We start from the raw sequence: 21,521 nt of genomic DNA, 5'->3' as shown, positions 1-21,521 counted from the left end.
ACAAAAAAATTAGCTGGGCATAGTGGCGGGCACCTGTATTCTCAGCTGCCTGGGAGGCTGAGGCAGGAGAATCGCTTGAACCCGGGAGGCGGAGACAGTGAGCCAAGATCGTGACACTGCACTCCAGCCTGGGCGACAGACTGAGACTCCATCTCAAAATTATCTATCTATCTATCTATCTATAGATAGATAGCATATAATATAGTATATTTTCTTGGCTATAATACTGCCATTTTGAATAATTACTGCCAAAAATATGGGCTTAATCTTCAACTTGGTAGTTTGGCCTTAAACTAACTAGTATTTTAATTTTTATCATAACTTTTGGAAAACAGGACTTTTCAAGCCAGGAGTGGTGGCTCACACCTGTAATCCCAGCACTTTGGGAGGCCGAGGCGGGTGGATCATTTGAGGTCAGGAGTTCTAGACCAGCCTGGCCAACATGGTGAAACCCCATCTCTACTAAAAATACAAAATAGCTGGGCGTGGTGGCACATGCCTGTAATCCCAGCTACTTGGGAGGCTGAGGCAGGAGAATTGCTTGAATCCAGGAGGCAGAGGTTGCATTGAGCCGAGATCATGCCACTGCACTCCAGCCTGGGCGACGGAGGGAGACTCTGTCTCAAAAATAGGAAAACAGGACTTTTCTAGTTACTTCTGATACTTCTAGTGATAAAGACATGTCTTTGCTAGAGACTCCTAAAGTTTGCTGTAGCTTTCATTAAATATGTATAGTCACCCTTAACAGTTTGCACTTAAAGCTAATTTGTTTTTAATGTCATTTCTTTTTTCTCAGGGAGGAGCAAAAAACAATTCTGCCGGTAACTTCTTGCTTTAGCCAGCCACTCCCAGTGTCTATTAGCAATGCAAGTTGCCTCCCCATCACCACATCTGTCAGTGCTGGCAACCTCATTCTGAAAACTCATGTTATGTCTGAAGATAAAAACGACTTTTTAAAACCTGTTGCAAATGGGAAGATGGTTAACAGCTGAAAGGAGGTTCATCTTTCAAATTTGTGACCACACCATGGAAGCATTTACACTAGCTTTTTATATATATAATATATATTATATAATGTATATTTTTTTTAAAAAAAAGATATTACTGGGGGCATCCATTTCCTGTGGACTCTTTGATACTTCAAGCCCTCTTGCATTAGCATTATGAAAAAAAAAAAGAAAATTTACTTTACTAGGGTAACATGTTCACTTTCCAGAAATGATTGGAATTTGGACAACATTTAACTTAAGCTTCAAGCAGCTTTTTATGAGTTTGTAGCAATCCGGTGCAGTAACTGAGCCATTTCCTATTTTAAATGGCTTCTATAGAAAATTAACAACTCAGTTATTAAACTAGCAGGATCCTACAATGATACATCTAGTGAAAGTAGACTTAGTTAACTTATTTATTTCTATTTTATGTTTCACTGAGAGAAGTTTCCATCTCATTCCAGCTGCTTTATTTATCTTTTTCATGGAACTTTGCATGGATTTCTTTTTCTTTTTTTAATTTTGAAGAGTGGAGTTAGATGTTCTTACCATAGAATTTTACAGGGTTATATACTAGCATTCTTTACTGCATTATATGTAGGAGTGTGGTGCAGTGCTTTTATCTGTAGCATATAATTTTTTTTTAATTTTCCATTTTTCAAGAGTAGTTTCTGCTTTGTTAATATTTATACACAGGCTACTTGTTGAAGTAATTAATTAAAAATATAACCAAGTGCCTAAGTCTTTCAGCTGATGTACTAGATATTAAATTCTCCTAAGTTATGCAGAATCGTTTTTACAATTTTGATAAATTATGCACTAATGTAATGGCAGTTTTTTAAAATGCAGATTTAAGCCTGTACATTATTGAATCTGATGACTTGGCAAAAGAATCAGGTGCTTTCAGCTTTCTTGAGAAAACCCTGTATGTAGCGTTTGCACTGACTAACAAGATGGTATTGCTGGGTTTTTAATTTAAACTAATTAATTTGGTTGTTCATTGCATTATCTTGGTTAAATATTGTTTATTGTTACTTCATGTTGGGGTTTAGTTTTTCTTGTTTTTTGACTGTTAGGTTGATAAGACTATGAACTGTGTAATAGTAGAACAGTGGCTAACATTTATTCATACTTAAGAACATGAATAATTTCTGCCTTGCTAAAATGTGACTGAAATGGTTTTGACTTGGCATCTGAAAGTATACAATGTGTTCAACAAGTCATGCATCAGATTTGTGGGAGGTATTGTACTGAAACCTAAATTTCAGTCAACATTTGAAAAGAAGAGCTGGGCATTCCTTCCTGGTGATCTTTACCTATAGTTTATCTATCTGTTTTTCTTCTGTTTCTTTAAGATTAGTTTGACTTTTATTATTATTTTTTTAATTAACTTCTGTGAAGTTGTTTACTCTGAAAATTGTACTGGAATATTTTAAGCCAAGCTGATCTTTCACCAGGTGTACTGTATGTAAGGGCTTTTCCTGCTAGCAAGATGCTTAAACAGGATCATGTTATTGGTCGTCTGAGCTATTTAGTTGTTTTACAAAACCACAGCATTGTATCAGATAAGATTTTGATAAAAAGTTTTGTGCACATTTCCAGGGGCGGGAGGGTTGACATTTCCCTGAAATTTCTTGATTAGAATGAGTAAATACTGGTGTTTGATACCTGTCTTAATGAACATGCTCATAAGGTGACTGATAAGTTGTAAATATACCTGAGAAACAAAGGGGTAGTTTTGATATTCTGGTGTCAGTATGGAAGATCTTACACATTTATTTAATACTCAAATGTATGAAGATGTTTGTTTGTAGCATAACAACAGCACAGTAGCCTTGACTTAGTTTCCTTTGGTTAGTACTGTACCTTTTTTGCCATGGCCAGTGCTCCCCATCCCTATGAAGACATTTTATTTATTTCACTCTGTAACCTGAAATGAATAGGAACAAGGGTTTTAAACCATGTTACATTAACTTTTCTGACATTATAAATTAGCCTAGAATATTACAGGAACATGATTGTTATATAATTTATATCAGAACCTTTCTATAAATATGTGCTTATTACATTTGAAATGCTTCCAATGTACTTTATTTGCTGTTTGTAATTCCAAAAAGGATATGCAAACCAGTCTGTCTATTTCATGGATATTTAATAGTGAGATCTTCCATGTTGAAGGTAATGTATTTTTTTTTAAGATTTTAAAATTGCTATTTTGTTACAAAATAGAGACCTATTAACAGTTTGAGAGCTCCTTATGTGCCCTCAGGGAAAGAACCCTCTGTGCAACAGAACTACACAAAACATCTTCAGCACGTTCTGAGGGTGAATATATACTACATAAATTGATCTTGTGTATTTAACCTTATCTTTTTAATTTTAAAATTGAAATTTTGAAACTTGGTTGTGCTCTGCTGGAGGGGGTTGGGATAAACTGCTTAGATGTTTGCCTACTTGTCCAGTGAAATTACATTTGCATCAGTATATGTATATACCTGCCAACCTTATTGGTATGTCTCAGAACATTTATATTAAAATAATGCTTGTCTTGCAGCAGGTGATCCCATAAAACAATAACTCCCTGTTCTTAAAAACTTACTCTCTTTTTCACTAACAACATAGGAATTGTTTCTGTGTTGAGATTATTCTGTGTTGCATCCATTCTCTATGTAGTGGTCACCTTCTGTCTGTCATGGTGGGCTTAATGTGAAGTAAAGCCATTGGTTCTCTGCCACTTTCGAAGAAAGGGCAGTTCATCTGATCCTTCTTCAGAATGGTACCTACTGATATCATCGAGGAAAATGTTACAAATCAGACCTAGGATATGACTTTTTAAAATTGAGGCATTTCCCGTCATTTGGCCTTTTTACCAACAAGATGTGATGTACAAATTTGGAATCAAAGGATACAAAGCAACAAGAGAGGAAATGTGTAATGTGGGTAACCAAACTGCATATGTTACCTATTGTCTAATCAGAAAAAATAGTCTGAGGTCTGGAAAGCAGGAAAGTGGTGGTTATTTTCTTTCATTTTTTGTGTTTTTGTTTTTTAATTTCTAAGTTCCATTCTGAAATCCATGTGCCGCATTCAGTTACTGTGGTTGTAGCATCAGTTTTTTTGTGGTTTCATTTCATTTTATGAATTCAGAGGAAGTTACATATATATTTTTTCTAGTTGGTACCTGAACAAAGCAGATTCCCTTGCCTTTGCTGCCACGTCTTATTTTCAATGCCATGTGATAAACCAGTGTCATACATGAAAGTTGTGCATTGTAATTTTCAAAAAAAAGGGAGTTCATTAGGCCAGTGGCACTGATTTTTCCTTCCCATCATAGCTATTTATTCTAGTAAGAGGATAATAAAAGAAATTTCCTATACAAGAACTGAAATTTTCCATTTGTATGGATCTAGTCACTTTCAGATTTCAATTTGAGGTTAAGTATATAAAGCACATCCCAATTTTATATGCTGCCTTGAGAAAATTACAGGATGCACGGCAATTTGTAGGAATTTCAAATGGGATCATTTAAACATTTGAAAAATTATTTTAAAAACCATCTAGTTTGCTTTTGGATTTTAGACATTAAAGCCTATGTTGTCTTGTTAACAGGGGTGGAATGTATAACCATCAGATTCAGCATGTGATTTCACCTTTGAATCTGAGTATTTCTTCCCTATCTTCTTTGAGTCATTTTTGGAGCAGACTGTCACCAGTATTGATAACTAAGCATTAAAGGGAAAAGTTGCATTGCAACTATGCATTGGTTTCCTGGAAGAACTTTTCTTTTGTTTTAGTGAATGAAGAGGCTTGATGGGATCACTTACTGTAACTCCTTCTACATAAGGACCCCTTCTGCAAGCAGAACACAAAAGAACATGCTCAAGGAGTATCCCATTTTCTGGATAAATTGAAGAAGTTTGCTAGTAATGTCTTTATACTAGCGTCTTCCTTGTATCCCTTTGCTGGCAAGGGAATACAAGGCGTCAAGACCACAGATCAAAACACCCCACATTTGAGTGGAGTCTTATTTTTACTCCAAGAGCAGTTATTCCCTTCTAGTCTAAAATTGGCAGTTTTTTCTTTTTTTTAATAAAATTTTTAAAATATTCCCAAACCAGTGGAACACAGACACTGGCTGCACTTAGTACTGCCAAAAGCCAAGGTCATTTGCACATATTCCATCAACCTGTCGAGAATTAGGCCTCACTTTATAACCCAAGGCATGGAAGTGCATGCATTCTCTTAGCTGGGCAAACAATTATACTGTAGTTGTGATACAACACATGTGGCTTTTATTTGTACTGCACATATCCACTGTACAGCCACTTGGGAGTATCGTGGTTAGCTTGCAGCAACTGCTGTCTGCATTTATACTGTTTATTGCATATTCTTTTCCCTGGAAGTGAAAGAGAAATGTTTTTCTTGTTGCATTGATTACATTTTATAAATTTGCTTAGCTGGAAAGTTTGGGAAAAGAGGCCTGTTTGTCAATTGTACAACCGATTGTGAAGCTCTAGTGTGAATATTTTTACGTCTGTATTAGACATTTTCTTTGCAAATCTATTGTTCGATTGAAATGTAAATGAAATTAAAGATGGTGTACACCCATCATGTAAAAAGCAGGCACCATCTCTAAGATGGATTTAATGCTCATTTTTAAGGCATATACTCAGCTTCTATTTAAAACTATAATTTAAAATAATTCTGTACAATGAAATGGGGAATATATATGGGAATAAATTCTATTCCATTTATTTCAATTTGAATTTCCAAATTGTAATGTTTCCCTTTGTGCTATAGGAATAGGATTAAATGGGGGAAGACTAGGATTTATAAGGCCTGTATATGGGGGGAGGGCAGAGATGGAACAATGAGGGTTGTGATGATAGTGAATAGCAAAGAGTGAATTCTGTGTGTTTTTGCTGTAGCACTGAAGTGAAGAGATATTAGCTTTGGCTGTTCACAAAATAGAGCATCATGATTTTCAGTGTTTGAGAGAAAATTGATGGAAAAAGTTTGCAGTACTTGACATGTATTTGCATGCACAAAATAAAATTATTTGTCCACCTTAAAAGTTGTTTGTTTAATGTCAATATTAAGTTTATGGTATGTTTTAGTTATCTAGATTTTCTTGGCATAGTTTTTGGCTTAACAGAGCTACCAGGTCACTCCTTGAGATTTAAATGATTGCATGCCTCATCTATATATCATAAGGAAGGATTTGAAAGAAATGAATAGACCCAAGGAGGTTGAGATATACCTTAATTCTGTCAAGTCACTTCCTTCATTCAACACAGCACTTTCTGGGTGGGAGATGAGGATGTAGATAGTACTGAGTTTACTGTCTAGTGGAGAAAGTAGGACAGATGCATAACTAATACAAAGCAATGTATCATAGAAGTTTGAAGACAATTCTGTGGACCTCAGGAGAACGCCTTGGGTGGATCTAGACACCATTTTCATTGGGCCTCAAGTGGTTTTATTCATTCATTCAGCTGATATATTTTAAACCCCTGTCTGTGCTGTTCAGTAAGGTTAAAGGTCCATGAAACATGAGTTTCTTCTCTAGAAAATCACAGTATGGAAAATCAGAAGACAGAATAATTCAGTGAGCTATTGTTCTAATGTAGGGTGTAGGGAAACTCCAAAAGAAATTATGGGGTTAGTGGCAGTGGTGAGCAAAAGGAAGTACTTCCCTGTAAAATGACCTCCAGCTATACTTTTAGCTACATAACATCGCACCATGCAGAGGTAAGTAGAGGAAGCACCCTGAGTTCCAACTGTACCTTCACAACAACCCACTCAATCTTGAACTATCATTCCTTGAAGTACTGTCTTGGATAGAAAAGAGGAAAAAACAGGCCGGGCGCAGTGGTTCACGCCTGTAATCCCAGCACTTTGGGAGGCCAAGGCGGCTGGATCACGAGGTCAGGAGATTGAGACCATCCTGGCTAACACGGTGAAACCCCGTCTCTACTAAAAATACAAAAAATTAGTCGGGCGTGGTGGCGGACGCCTGTAGTCCCAGCTACTCGGGAGGCAGGGGCAGGAGAACGGCGTGAACCCGGAAGGCGGAGCTTGCAGTGAGCCGAGATCGCGCCGCTGCAATCCAGCCTGGGCGACAGAGTGAGACTCCGTCTCAAAAAAAAAAAAAAAGAAAAAACAAACTACCGTCCTTTACTTTAGATGTTATAACCCGTATCTTATGTTTGAGATGTTATCTAACTCGCCCAGATGTTGTAACTACAAAGTAGTAGAATCAGAATTCTGATTTGTCTGCCTCTTTTCTACCTCTCAAGGAGGTGGTGGTGGTCATGGTGATCGGAACTTATATTGACCGTAAGTGTTACAATGGAAGAGGTGTTTAAGGAATGGTGCTTCAGTGACTAATAGAGCACTTAATATTTTCTAGAAACAGTTGTAAGTACAATAATATATCACGACTTAGGACCATAAAACTGAGGCTGAGATCTTAAGAGATTTTGCCCAAGGTCGCAGAGGAGGTAGGTAGGGACTTCATGAAGGACAGCAAATACCATTCTAAAGAGACGAGTTATATAATCTAAACAATTTGGGATTTTAGATCCCTTTAGCCATGGGGTGAAAGGTAAAGCTGGAGATAGACCAGCAGGGAGGCCAGGTCAGCAATCTAGGTAAGAAGTATTGAGAGCATGGCCAAGCTGGGACGGAGGAAAAAAAGATGGATTTAAAAAGTAGGAGACAGCAATGGACAGGATTTGTAGTGTAGGAAGTCTATTGGACATCTACCCAATCAATATAGGGGATTAAATTTGGCTTAAAATCCCAGACCCCATTGCTGAGAACAGTCCAATATTTGTAAAACATGTTATATACATCCTAAAGTATGTGACAATGGAGATCAGGAAGGAGGAAGAGGGTGAAAAACCATGGATGGGTGATCCAGGTAAGGGAGAGGAAACTTAAGGAAATGAAATTCCAGGGAGATTTTATTTCCTTTATAATATCTATTGAAATAATTATCATGCACATTAACAAAGTATCCCAGATACCCATGGAATATCTTCATGATTAGATCTTTCACTTCAGGTCTTTATTCAAAAGGCAGATCCAGTGAGAATCAGATGGAGGGTGCCATTTAAAATAGGAATTTAGGGCCGGGCATGGTGGCTCACGCCTGTAATCCCAGCACTTTGGGAGGCCAAGGAGGGCAGATCACTTAAGGTCAGGAGTTCGAGACCAGCCTGGCCAACATGGTGAAACCTGCCTCTACTAAAAATACAAAAAATTAGCCAAGCATGGTGGCAAGCACCTGTAGTTTCAGGAACTCAGGAGGGTGAGGCAAGAGAATCACTGGAACCTGGAATTTGGAGGTTGCAGTGAGCCAAGATTTTGCCACCGCATTCCAGCCTGAGTGACAGAGTGAGAGTCCATCTCAAATTAATTAATTAAAGAGATATTTAAACCCGAGATTTTAGATAAGATCAACTGAAGTTTTTAAAAAAGTTTTATATTTCGAAATAATTGTAGATTCACAGGAAGTGCAAAAATTGTACAGAGGACCATATAGCTTCACACACCTTCTCCAGTGGTAACATGTTACATAACTATAGTTTTTTGTTTTTTTTGTTTTTTTTTTGAGACAGAGTCTCACTGTCGCTCAGGCTGGAGTGCAGCAGTGGCATGATCTGCAACTTCTACCTTCTGGGCTTAGGTGATCCTCCCACCTCAGCCTCCTAAGTAGCTGGCACTACAGGTGCACACAACCACGCCTGGTTAGTTTTTGTATGTTTTGTAGAGATGGGGTTTTGCCATGTTGCCCAGGCTGGTCCCAAACTCTTCAACCCAAGGGTTCCACCCACCTCAGCCTCCCAAAGTGCTAGGATTTCAGCCGTGAGCCACCCAAGCCCAGCCCCTAATTATAATATTAAAACCAGGAACTTGACATTCCTACAATCCAGAGCTTATTCAGATTTCACCGCTTTCCCATGCACTCATTTGCATGCATGTGCATGTTCGTGTGTGTGTAAGTTCTATGTAGTTTTCACATGTAGATTTGTGGAACCACCACTACTATCAAGAGCTGTTCCATCTCCTCAGTGATCCCTCATGCTACCCCTTTATATCACATCCATTTTCCTTGCTTATCCCCATTCTCCCATCCCTAAACCCTGGCAACCACTAATCTGTTCTCCATCTTTGTAATTTTGTCATTTTGGGAATGTTATATTACTGGAATTACACCATATGTAACCTCGAGATTGGCTTTTTGTTTTCACTCAGCATAATTCCCTTGAAATTCATCCAAATGGTTGTATGTATTAATAGTTTTTTTCTTTATGTTGCTGGGTAATATGCCATGGTACATCCGTGGTACCATGGTATACTACATGTATACTACACACCATGGTAATGGTGTCTTTAGCTATTAACTCATTGAAGGGCATTTGGAATGTTTCAAATTTTTGGCTGTTACAAATAAAGCTGCTATGAACATTTGTATGCATGTTTCTGTGTGGACATAAGTTTTTATTTCTGAAGTTTTTTTTTTTTCAGTGAATGAATTGGTATACTTTGTCTACCTCTGAAGGAAATTAATAAATAAGACTATAATAAGGTCTTAACTTGGAAATGGACAAATTCCTTAAAAATACAGTTTACCAAACTGGATACAAAATGAAAATAAAAATTGGAATAACTCTTGTATTAATTATCTGTTGGTATAACAAATTACCGGAAAACTTAGGGGCTTACCAAAAAATGTATCACCTCAGTTTCTGTAGGTCAGAAATCTGGATATGACTTAAATAGGTCCTCTGCTTCAGGGTCTCTCACAGGCTGTAATCTAGCTGTTGGCTGGCACTGCAGTCATCTCACAGCCCAGCTGGGGAAGGATCCGCTTCCAAGCTCACTCATGATTATTGGCAGAATTCATTCAGTTCTTTATGCCCTTTGGAATGAGGACATCAGTTTTTTTGCTGGCTGGAGGCTGGAGGCTACTGATAATGGCTTGGATGTTTGTCCCTCCAAATCTCATATTGTAATGTGGCCTCGTGCTGAAGGTGGGGCCTGGTGGAATGTATTGGATCATGGGGGCAGATCCCTCAAGAATGGCTTAGCACCATCCCTGGTTGATGAGTGAGTTCTCACTCAGTTCATGCTAGATCTGATTGTTTAAAAGAGTGTGGTACTTCTGCACCCCACACACACCTTGGTCCTGCTCTTGCCATGTGATACACTGGCTCCCCTTCGCTTTCCACCATGATTGTAAGCCTCTTGAGGCCCTCAACAGAAACTAAGCAGATGTTGGTGCCATGCCTGTACAGCCTGCAGAACTGTGAACCAAATTAAACCTCTTTTCTTTATAAAGTACCCAGACTCCGTTATTTCTTTGTAGAACAACACAAGAACAGACTAATACAGAACATTGGTACTGAGGAGTGTGGCATTGCTATAAAGATACCTGAAAATGTGAAAGTGGCTTTGGAACTGGGTAACAGGCTGAGGTTAGAAGAGTTTGGAGAGCTCAGAAGAAGACAGGAAGACAAGGGAAATTTTGGAACTTCTTAGAGACTTGTTAAGTGGTTGTGACCAAATTGCTAATAGAAATGTGGATAGTGAAGGCCAGACTGATGAGGTCTCAGATGGAAATAAGGAAGTTATTGAAAGCTGGAGTAAAGGTCAACCCCGTTATGCCCTAGAAAAGACTTGGCTGCATGGTGTTCACATCCTAGGGATCTGTAGAAGTTTGAACTTCAGAATGATGACTTAGGGTATCTGGTGGAAGAAATTTCTAAGCAGCAAAGCATTCAAGATGTAGCATGGTTTCTTCTAAAAGCCTATGATGAGATGCGGGAGCAAAGGAATGACTTAAAGTTGGAAGTTATATTTAAAAGGGAAGCAGAGTAGAAAAGTTTGGAAAATTTGCAGACTGTTCCCTGTGGAAGAGAAAGAATCCAAGCAGGCTGCAGAACTACCACTTGCTAGAGAAATGAGCATGATTAAAAGGGAGCCAAGTGCTACTATCCAAGAAAATGGGAGAAAGACCTGTATTGCATTTCAGAGATGTTTGAGGCAGCCCCTCGAGTCACAGCCCAGAGGTCAAGGAGGAATGAATGGTTTCCGTGGCGAGGCCAGGGTGCTGCTGCCCTGCACACTACTGCCCTGCACCACCTCGGTGGGCTGCTCCAGCTCCAGTCTTGGCTCAAAGGGCCCCAGCTATGGTTCCATCTGCCACTTTGGAGAGTGCAAGTTGCCCTAAGCCTTGGTAGCTTCTAAGTGTTAAGTCTGCAGGCACATGGAATCAAGAGTGAACGAAGCTTGGCAGCTTCCCCCTAGGTTTCAGAGGATTTATGGAAAAGCCTAGGTGCCCAGACAGAAACCAGCTGCAGGGCAGAGTCCCCAAAGAGTTACTCACTACGTCAATGCCAAGGGGAAATGTGAGGTTGGAGGCCCCACACAGAGTCCCCACTGGGTCACTGTCTTGTGGAGCTATGGGAAGTGACTGCCATTCTGTAGACCTGAGAATGGTAGAGCTACCTGCAACTTGCAACCTGAGCCTGGAAAAGTCACAGGTGCCCATCTCCAGCTGGTAGGGGAGTAGCCACAGGGGCTGCACCCTGCAAAGCCACAGGGATGAAGCTAGTCAAGGCCTTGAGAGCCCACATCTTGCACCAGTGTGTCCAGGATGGAAGACATGGAGTCAGGGATTTGTGTGTTTGTGTGTGTGTGTGTGTGTGTGTCTGTGTGTCTGTGTGTATTTTTTGACCTCTGAACTTTTTATTGCCCTCCTGCTCCCCAAAGAGTACCCTGCTTCTGCTGGCTTAATGTCTCAGAATTTTGGTGTCATTGGTCTCAGACACCACTTTGCCATCCACAATCTGGGGGGTGGTGGTCTTTTGGATGTTTTGCATGGAATTCCTGCTGTCCAGGGCATCACCAAGATTGAAGTCCTTGCCATCTTCCAGCAGGCGGCAGTAGGTGGCAATCTCAGCCTCCAGCTTGACCTTGATGTTCAGCAGGGCTTCGTACTCCTGGGCCTGGCACTGCCCCTATACCCTGTGCCAGCTCTGACTCCAGGTGCAGCAGGATCCCGTTGAGCTGCTCCATCTGCAGGGCATAGTGGCCCTCCACCTCCCTCAGGCTGTTCTCCAACCTGGCCTTCAGATTTCTCATTGAGTCCAGGTTGATCTCCAAGGACTGGACTGTACATCTCAGCTCCGTGAGTGTCATCTCAGCAGCTCCGACCTCGGCGGACTGCATCATGACCACTGTGGTGCTCTCCTCAATCTGCTGGGACCACTACTTGTCTAGCTCCTTTTGGTTCTTCTGAGGCCGTTCACTGTATTGGGCCCAGATGTCTGCCATGATCTTGGTGAGGTTCAGAGATTTGGGGGCATCTACCTCCACAGTCAACCCAGAGCTGCAACCTGGGCTTGCAGGCCTTTTACTTTCTCTTTGTGGTTCTTCATGAAGAGCAGCTCCTCCTTGAGAGCCTCGATCTCTGTCTCCAGCTGCAGCTGAGTGACACTGGTGTCATCAGTGACCTTGTGGAGCCCATGGATGTCACTCTGCACAGACTGGCGTATGGCCAGCTCTGTCTCATATTTGACTCTAAAGTAACCAGCAGCAAGACGGGCATTGTCGATCTGCAGAATGATGCTGGCATTGTCCACAGTATTTGTGAAGATCTGAGCCCTCAGGCCCCCGATGGTCTTGAAGTAAAGGCCCCAGTCTCTGGCCTGAGGTCCCTTCTTCTCCAGATGCTCTCAGATTTTGCTCTCCAGCCTCTGGTTCTCAGTCTCCAGGCTCCTCACTCTGTCCAGGTAGGGGGCCAGGTGGCCGTTCAGCTTTGCATGGGCTCCTTCTCGTTCTGGATGCTTCCCATTCCTGCCAGACCCCCGGCCATCCTTGTGGCCACAACCCGGACCCCAAGCCACCCCAGAAGCTAGTGAAGCGGGACATGGAGATCCAGAAACCAGAGCTCCCGCCACCAGCTGGCCTCTCTCCTGACCGGCCAGGCACCGTAGCTGGGCGGCTGGACGGAGCCCAGGGACTGGTAGTTGGTGGAGAAGGTGGAGCGAGTGGTGAAGCTCATGCTGTCTGGAGAGGAGAGAGAGAGGACAGGAGTCAGGCTTTGCTGACCGTATGTGTGTTTTAGACAGGGTCTCACTCTGTTGCCCAGAGCAGTGGCGCAATCATGGCTCACTGCAGCCTTGACCTCTGGGGCTAAAGTGATTCTCCCACCTCAGCCTCCTGAGTAGCTGGGACTACAGGTGCACACCACCATGCCTGGCTAATTTTGTTTTTTTAATTTTCTGTAGAGACAGGTTTCACGATGTTGCCCAGTCTCAAGGATTATTTTGGAATTGTAAGATTTAATATCTGCCCTGCTGAGTTTCAGACTTGCATAGGGCCTGTAGCCCCTTTATTTCGGTCAGTTTCTCCCTTTTGGAATGGGAATGTTTACCCAATGCCTGTACTACCGTTGTTTATTGGAAGTAAATAACTGGTTTTGATTTTACAGGTTCATAGGTGAAAGAAAGTGAGTCTCAGAGAAGACTTAGGACTTTTGATTTGATGTTGGAATGAGTTAAGACTTTGGGGGATTAACGAGAAGGGATTATTGTATTTTGCAACGTGAGGAGGACATGAGATGTGGGGGATGGGTGCCAGGGGAGGAATGATATGATTTGGATATTTGTCCCCTCCAAATCTCATGTTGAAATGTGACCTCGTGTTGGACGTGGGGCCTAGTGGGACGTATTGGATCATGGGGATGGATCCCTCATAAATGGCTTAGTGCCATCCCCTTGGTGATGAGTTCTTGCTCAGTTCATGCTAGATCTGGTTGTTTAAAAGAGGGTGACACCTCCCCTACCCCCACCTTGCTTCTGCTCTCACCACGTGATATGCTGGCGCCTCTTTGCTTTCTGTCATGATTGTAAGCTTCCTCAGGCCCTCACCAGGAGCTAAGCAGCTATTGGTGCCATGCCTGTACAACCTGCGGAACTGTGAGCCAAATTAAACCTCTTTTCTTTATCAGTATCGGTATTTCTTTATGTAGAAATACCAGTCTCAGGTTTTTTTTTTTTTGTTTTTTGTTTTTCTTTTTTTTGAGACAGTCTTGCTCTGTTGCCAGGCTGGAGTACAGTGGCGTTATCTTGGCTCACTGCAACCTCCGCCTCCCGGGTTCAAGCGATTCTTACGCGTTAGCCTCCTGAGTAGCTGGGACTATAGGCGCCCACCACCATGCCCAGCTAATTTTTGTATTTTTAGTAGAGACGGGGTTTCACCATGTTGGCCAGGATGGCCTCAATCTCCTGACCTCGTGATCCACCCCCCTCGGCCTCCCAAAGTGCTGGGATTACAGGCGTGAGCCACCGCGCCCGGCCATCTCAGTTATTTCTTTATAGCATCACAAGAAAGGACTAATACAGCTACTGTTAGTTTCTGGCCACATGAGCTTCTCTGTAGTGCAGCTCACAATATGGTAGAGTGGCTCATCCAAGCAGCAAGCAATACAGGCAACAGAGAGTGAGAGAGAGAGAGTGTGTGCTAAAAAGACGTCACAGTCTTTTATAACCAAATTTTGGAAGCAACATCCCATTACTTTTGTGGTATTCTAATCCTTAGAAGCAAGGGAAAGGGATTACACAGGGCATGAATACCAAGAGGCGGGGAACTTTGGGAGTAGTATCAGTCTGTGTCCAATCAGGAGGTAGAAACTACACAGTACGTTATATGGGGTAAAGCTTAATATAAAGAATCATTAAATGCTAATAAATGACTACCAGCTAAAAGTAAATTCCACATAGTACTCTATAGGTTAGGGAGAGTACCTAAGGAAACACAAACTTGGAAAGGGGTCCACTTCTCAAGGCTGAGGGTCACACCTCGGAGAAGGTATAGTTCAGCCCAGAGGTCCGCTAGTTGGCCCAGGCTGGAACTAGTCACTGGCAGACAGAAAGCTACTCTCCAGGCAGCAGGAGAGGTACACAGGAGCCTGCAGAGAGAGTTGGCTGGTGGGGGACAGGAAACTGGTAGGCGACAGGAAGGAAGCCTTCAGAAAGCTAATTTTCGCATTGAGAGGGCCACAGGAAAATTGTTGCTGGTCTAGACTGAGGTTGCAATGTCACCAAGGGACCATATGTGCTGGACACATGGCTGGGAAAGAGCTCCCCTGGATGTCATTACATCCACATCACTGACCTACCACGAAACTGTGGGAAACAGTAGGAGAGCCCCTCCTCCTGCAATGCCCCTCCAGTGCCCTCTACTGAGAAAGCTCATCACTGTGCTCACTGCAAAGGAGAAATGCTTCACTGAATTCTATCCATTATTGAAGAGCATATATTCAAGGGCGAATTGGGAGCAGAGGGGCAATAAATTGATCATTAGCCTAGGAGCGATTTTAGAAGCTGCCTGCCATAGCCCTATAACTACCAAAGAAATTGAATTAATTATGAAAAACCTTCCCACAAAGAAAACTCCAGGCCCAGATCGCTTCACAGGTTTATTCTATTATTAATAAATATTTAAGGAGAAATAATGCCAATTTTACAGAAGCTACTTCAGAAAGTGGAAGAGGGAACTTACAACTAGTTTTATTAGATAAACATAACCACACAGTACATTACAAAAAAAGAAAATCGTAGGTTAATATCTCTCATGAACATAGATGCAAAAATCCTTAAAATGTTAGTAAATCTAGCTATGTATATCAGGTATAATACATCAAGTCCAAATAGTGTTTATTTCAGGAATGCAAGGTTGCTTTAGCATTTGAAAATCAATCTATGTACTTGACCATATTAACAAAGTAAAGGTTATATTCTATTATTATAAGGTCTCTTAAAATTTAATGGTATTCCGGGCCAGGCGCGGTGGCTCACGCCTATAATCCCAGCACTTTGGGAGGCCGAGGCGGGCGGATCAAGAGGTCAGGAGATAGAGACCATCCTGGCTAAAACGGTGAAACCCCGTCTCTACTAAAAATACAAAAAATTAGCCGGGCGTGGTGGCGGCCGCCTGTAGTCCCAGCTACTTGGGAGGCTGAGGCAGGAGAATGGCGTGAACCCGGGAGGTGGAGCTTGCAGTGAGCCGAGATTGCGCCACCGCACTCCAGCCTGGGCGACAGAGCGAGACTCTGTCTCAAAAAAAAAAAAAAAAAAAAAAAAAAAAAAATTAATGGTATTCCATTCTGATTGGCTTGTAGGAATTAAAATATATATGTACATAAATAAGAAAAAAATTTTTTTTTGAGATGGAGTTTCACTCTTTTCACCTAGGCTTAGAGTGCAGTGGCACGATCTCGGCTCACTGCAACCTCTAACATCCACCTCCTGGGTTCAAGCCATTCTCCTGCCTCAGCCTTCTGAGTAGCTGGGATTACAGGTGTGTGCCACCACACCTGGCTAATTTTCTTTTGTATTTTTAGTAGAAACGGGGTTTTGCCAAGTTGCCCAGGCTGGTCTTGAATTCCTGAGCTCAGGTAATCGCCAGCCTCAGCCTCCCAAAGTGCTCGGATTACAGGCATGAGCCACCGCTCCCAGCCTCAAACATTCCTTAAAAAGAGATTTTACTCCTTAAATGTTAAAGGTGTGGGCTACTTAAAGAAAAAGGTAGTTGCTAAAAGTATTGTTACTAAAACTATAAAAGCAGAGGTTTTCTGATTTTCTTTGATTTCTTAATCAAAACTTTTTTAAAAAGAAATTTAAGGCTGGGTGCAGTGGCTCACACTTATAATCCTAGCACTTTGGGAGGCTGAGGTGGGAGGATCATTTGAGGCCAGGAATTTGAGACTAACCTGGGCAACATAGCAAGACTTCATCTCTACTAAAAAAAAAAAGGGGGCTAGTGCGGTTACTCACGCCTGTAATCCCAGCACTTTGGGAGGCCAAGATGCCAAGATGGGTGAATCACCTGAGGTCAGGAGTTCAGGACCAGCCTGGCCAACTTGGTGAAACCCTGCCCCTACTAAAAATACAAAAATTAGCCAGGCATGGTGATGGGTGCCTGAAGTCCCAGCTACTCGGGAGGCTGAGGCAGGAGAATCGCTTGAACCCAGGAGGTGGAGGTTGCAGTGGGCTGAGATCGTGCCACTGCACTCCAGCCTGGGCGACAGAGCAAGACTCTGTCTCAAAAAAAAAAAAAAAAAAAAAAAGGCCAGGCATGGTGGCTCACGCTTACAGTCCTAGCTACTTGAAGGCTGAGTGGGATGATGGCTTGAGCCCCAGAGGTTAGGCCACAGTGAGCTATGGTCATCCCACTGCACTCCTCCCTGGGTGACAGAGTGGGACCCTGTCTCTAAAAAGAAAAAAAGGGGAAAATAGTAATTTAATTGTTGCTTATAGACAATCCAACATCTAAAAAAATACTCACTTAAAAAATTAAAATTAAAGGCCATATCAAAGATACCACTTTTTTTTTTTTTTTAAGAGGGAGTCTCACTCTATTACCCAGGCTAGAGTGGTGCAATCTCAGCTCACTGCAACCTCCACCTCCTGACTTCAAGCAATTTTCTTTCCTCAGCCTTCTGAGTAGCTGGGATTACAGGTGCATGCCACCATGCCCAGCTAATTTTTATATTTTTAGTAGAGACAGGGTTTCACCGGCCAAGCTGATCTCAAACTCCTGACCTCAGGTGATCTGCCTGCTTCAGCCTCCCAAAGTGCTGCTGGGTTTATAGGTGTGAGCCACTGCACCGGCCAAGATACCACTTTTAAAATTTGAAAACAAATGAGAGAGACAGAGAGAATCTGACTATTATATAAGGAAGTGGTTCTTATCTTTACTGGTTTTCTCTTCATTAATACAAAAAAACGTTGTTTAGGCTGGGTGCAGTGTGGCTCACGCCTGTAATCCCAGCACTTTGAGAGGCCAAGGTGGGCGGATCATGTGGTCAGGGGTTCGACACCAGCCTGACCAACATGGTGAAACCCTGTCTCTACTAAAAATACAAAAATTAGCCGGGTGTGGTGGCGCGTGCCTGTAATCAGGAGCGTGTGCTACTCAGGAGGCTGAGGCAGGAGAATTGTTTGAAACTGTGAGGCGGAGGTTGCAGTGAGCCGAGATCGCACCACTACACTCCAGCCTGGGTGACAGAGCGAGACTCTGTCTCAAAAAAGAAAAAAAAAAGGTTGTTTAATCTGATTTTTAAATAAGAAAGACATTCTGTTGCAACAGATGGAACACCCTGCCATACACACACCACCACCACCACCAGAGAAGGAAAGTTAAGGTGAGAGAGAAAGAAAGAGAAACAAGGGAGGGGAAAGGACAAAAGGAGAGGGAGCAGAAAAGGCACAAGGGAAGAGAAAGGAAGGGAAGGAAAAGAAAAATAAAAGAATTCAGGAAATGAAGAAAAAGAAAGAAAAGACAAGACAGATGGGCAAGCTGTTTATCTCAAACAGTCCTCATATGGTTTGGTGTCATTCAAAATCATCTCTGGACCTTTAATTCTTATAGAAAAAATAAAGTAACAGGACAAATTTGTTCTAAATTTACAAAAATATTGGTAGAAAAAATCTAACATGAGAAACTCATTGTAAGACCAAATCTTGTTTTGCCTCTGTTATGATTTGGAAAAACTGTAAGAGTGGATCAAGTCTTGGAACTCATGCTTCAAGGAATTTAATCATTTATTTTATTTATTTATCTAGCTATTTATTTATTTATTTTTTTGTGGAGATGGAGTCTCATTCTGTCTCCCAGGCTGGAGTGCAGTGGCATGATCTCAGCTCACTGCAACCTCCTTCTACCGGGTTCAGGTGATTCTCCTGCCTCAGCCTCCCAAGTAGCTGGGATTACAGTAGGCATGCTCCACTCAGCCCGGCTAATTTTTGTATCTTTAGTAGAGATGGGGTTTCACCATGTCGGCCAGGCTGGTCTTGAACTCCTGGCCTAAAATGATCTGCCTGCCTCAGCCTCCCAAAATGGTGGGATTACAGGCATAAGCCATCGTGCCCGGCCTATTTAATCACTTATATATGAATTTCATTCAGTTACTTCAAAATTTTAAATATTTTTAAAAATAGCCTATAAATCTGGTTGGATCAAGGTTTCCCTTGCTTAAAGATAAATGCTTTAGCCGTCACAAGACAGCTCATGGGTTGTTTTCCCCACTAGGGAATACCTTTAATATACTCTACTGATAAACAGCCCAACAAAAACCTTACAGTAGCGGTAAAATACCTTTAAAACTATAAATTACATACAGTATGCTCATTAAACAGAAACTTCATTATCCACATCATTCCACATTTCTTTTTTTTTTTTTTGAGACGGAGTCTCACTCTGTTGCCAGGCTGGAGTACAGTGGCATAATCTCAGCTCACTGCAACCTCCACCTCCTGGGTTCAAGCGATTCTCCTGCCTTAGCCTCCCCAGTAGCTGAGACTACAGGCGTGCGCCACCATGCCCAGCTAATTTTTGTATTTTTAGTAGAGACGGGGTTTCACCATATTGGCCAGGATGGTCTTGATCTCTTGACCTCGTGATCTGCCCACCTCGGCCTCCCAAAGTGCTGGGATTACAGGTGTGAGCCACCATGCCTGGCCCATTCCACATTTCTAACAGGAAAAATGAGTGGTTCTGTTGGATATTATTAGATAGCTAACTCATGTACACATATTCCTGACAGATGCAAGCTACATTCCCAACAAAGACATCACTATATCTATACAACCAGGAGACTGAATATATTAAAAGGTCTGAATTTGAGACCAACGTGGGCAACATAGCAAGACCCCATTTCTACTTTTTTTAAAAAAGGTTGAATATGGCCGGGCGCGGTGGCTCACGCCTGTAATCCCAGCACTTTGGGAGGCCGAGGCGGGTGTATCACGAGGTCAGGAGATCGAGACCATCCTGGCTAACACGGTGAAACCCCGTCTCTACTAAAAAATACAAAAATTAGCCGGGCGTGGTGGCGGGAGCCTGTAACCTGGGAGGCGGAGATTGCAGTGAGCCGAGAATTGCGCCACTGCACTCCAGCCTTGGCAACAGAGTAAGACTCCGTCTTAAATAAATAAATAAATAAATAAACCAGTGTCGGGCAGTTCTTTATAGCAGTATGAACTGCCTGACACTGGGTTATTTATTTACAGCAGTATGAAAACGGACTTATTAATACAGTATTCTTGAATGGGTGTGTGTTTGTGTGTGGTATTTTTTGACTCCTCTGAGGGCCTCAGCAAACAGCCTCTCTGAAAACAGGCAGGTACAGAAATTTGCAGACAATTTCAGGTGGTCCTAGAACCACAAATTAAGATCCCCTACCCCAAATTAAGAGCCCTATTTTAAACAGTGTATCTTTCTAGAATATTTTCTATGATTCAATTTACCCAAAGCTTTCTATGAGCAACTTCACGGTTGTGTATTGGATACTTCAACAAGGGCTCAGAATTTGAAATCATTTTAGGTTTTAAAAAAGTTGCAAAAACAGACGACAAAGTATGCCTGAGGAAAAAGAAAAAAAAGTTGCAAAATATCATAGTATGGCTTTACCCTGGAAGAAGAAAACAAAGTTGCAAAAATAGGATAGTGCTTCCCTAGATTCTTCATCTAATAGAATCTCCAAAAGTTCACATCTTACATAGTATAATTATTAAAACTATTGATACAATACTACTAATATGAATTAATAGGCCTTATTCAAATTTCGTCAGTTGTCCCATTCATGTCCTTTTTATTTTTCTTTTTTGAGACGGAGTCTCAGTCTTGACCCCCAAGCTGGAGTGCAGTGGTGCGATCTCAGCTGTCTGCAACCTCCGCCTCCCGGGTTCAAGCGATTCTCCTGCCTCAGCCTCCGAGTAGCTGGGATTACAAGTGTGCACCACCATGCCCGGCTAATTTTTGTATTTTTAGTAAAGACGGGGTTTCGCCATGTTGGCCAGGCTGGTCTCGAACTCCTGACCTCAGGTGATCTGCCCGCCTCGGCCTCCCAAAGTGCTGGGATTACAGGAGTGAACCACCGCACCCGGCCCCATGTCCTTTTTCTATACCAGGAGCCAATTCCGGATTTCACATTACATTCCTGCTCTGTCACCCAGGCTGGCCTCCAAGTCCTGGGCTGAGCGATCCTCCCGCCTCAGCCTCCTGCGTAGCTGGGACTACAGGCGCGCGCCACCACTCCTGGCTGCCGCTTCTTTAAAATGGTGAAACCCCGTCTCTACTAAAAATAGAAAAAATTAGCCGGGTCTGCTGGCGGACGCCTGTAATCCCAGCTACTCTGGAGGCTGAGGCAGGAGAATCTCTTGAACCCGGGAGGCGGAGGTTGCAGTGAGCCGAGATCGCGTCACTGCACTCCAGCCTGGGCAAGAAGAGCGAAACTCCGTCAAAAAAATATATATATATATTTTAATCTATGCCCTGTACTTGAGGGATTTGTGCTCTCGGGCAAATTACCGAACGTCTCTGAGTCACTTTTCCGTCTAATAGACGTGATGCGATGAAGAACCAATAAAAAACACACTTTGAATGGCTTCGGAAACTTCGAAGGGAAGTGAATACATTTTTCTTTTCTTTCTTTCTTTTTTTTTGAGACAGTCT

The 21,521-nt window shown here is 42.2% G+C and overlaps 1 protein-coding gene and 1 pseudogene across 4 annotated transcripts in view; one reads left to right on the top strand and one right to left on the bottom strand.

Annotated features, from left to right (window-relative positions):
• The window catches only part of RC3H2 (ring finger and CCCH-type domains 2), a 60,804-nt gene extending 54,741 nt beyond the window's left edge, over positions 1–6,063 (top strand). For all 4 annotated transcript variants that reach the window (NM_001354479.2, NM_001354482.2, NM_001354478.2 and 1 more), the window contains one exon: positions 797–6,063. In NM_001354479.2, coding sequence (NP_001341408.1) covers positions 797–992 — 196 coding nt within the window. In that variant the 3' untranslated portion in view covers positions 993–6,063. The remainder of the gene's footprint in view (positions 1–796) is intronic.
• On the bottom strand, positions 11,733–13,112 carry KRT18P67 (keratin 18 pseudogene 67; annotated as a pseudogene).

Source organism: Homo sapiens, chromosome 9 (genome assembly GCF_000001405.40).
Source record: "Homo sapiens chromosome 9, GRCh38.p14 Primary Assembly".
Classification (NCBI taxonomy): domain Eukaryota; kingdom Metazoa; phylum Chordata; class Mammalia; order Primates; family Hominidae; genus Homo; species Homo sapiens.
Note: the sequence above shows the minus strand (reverse complement) of the source record. Positions and strands in the feature narration are given on the sequence as shown.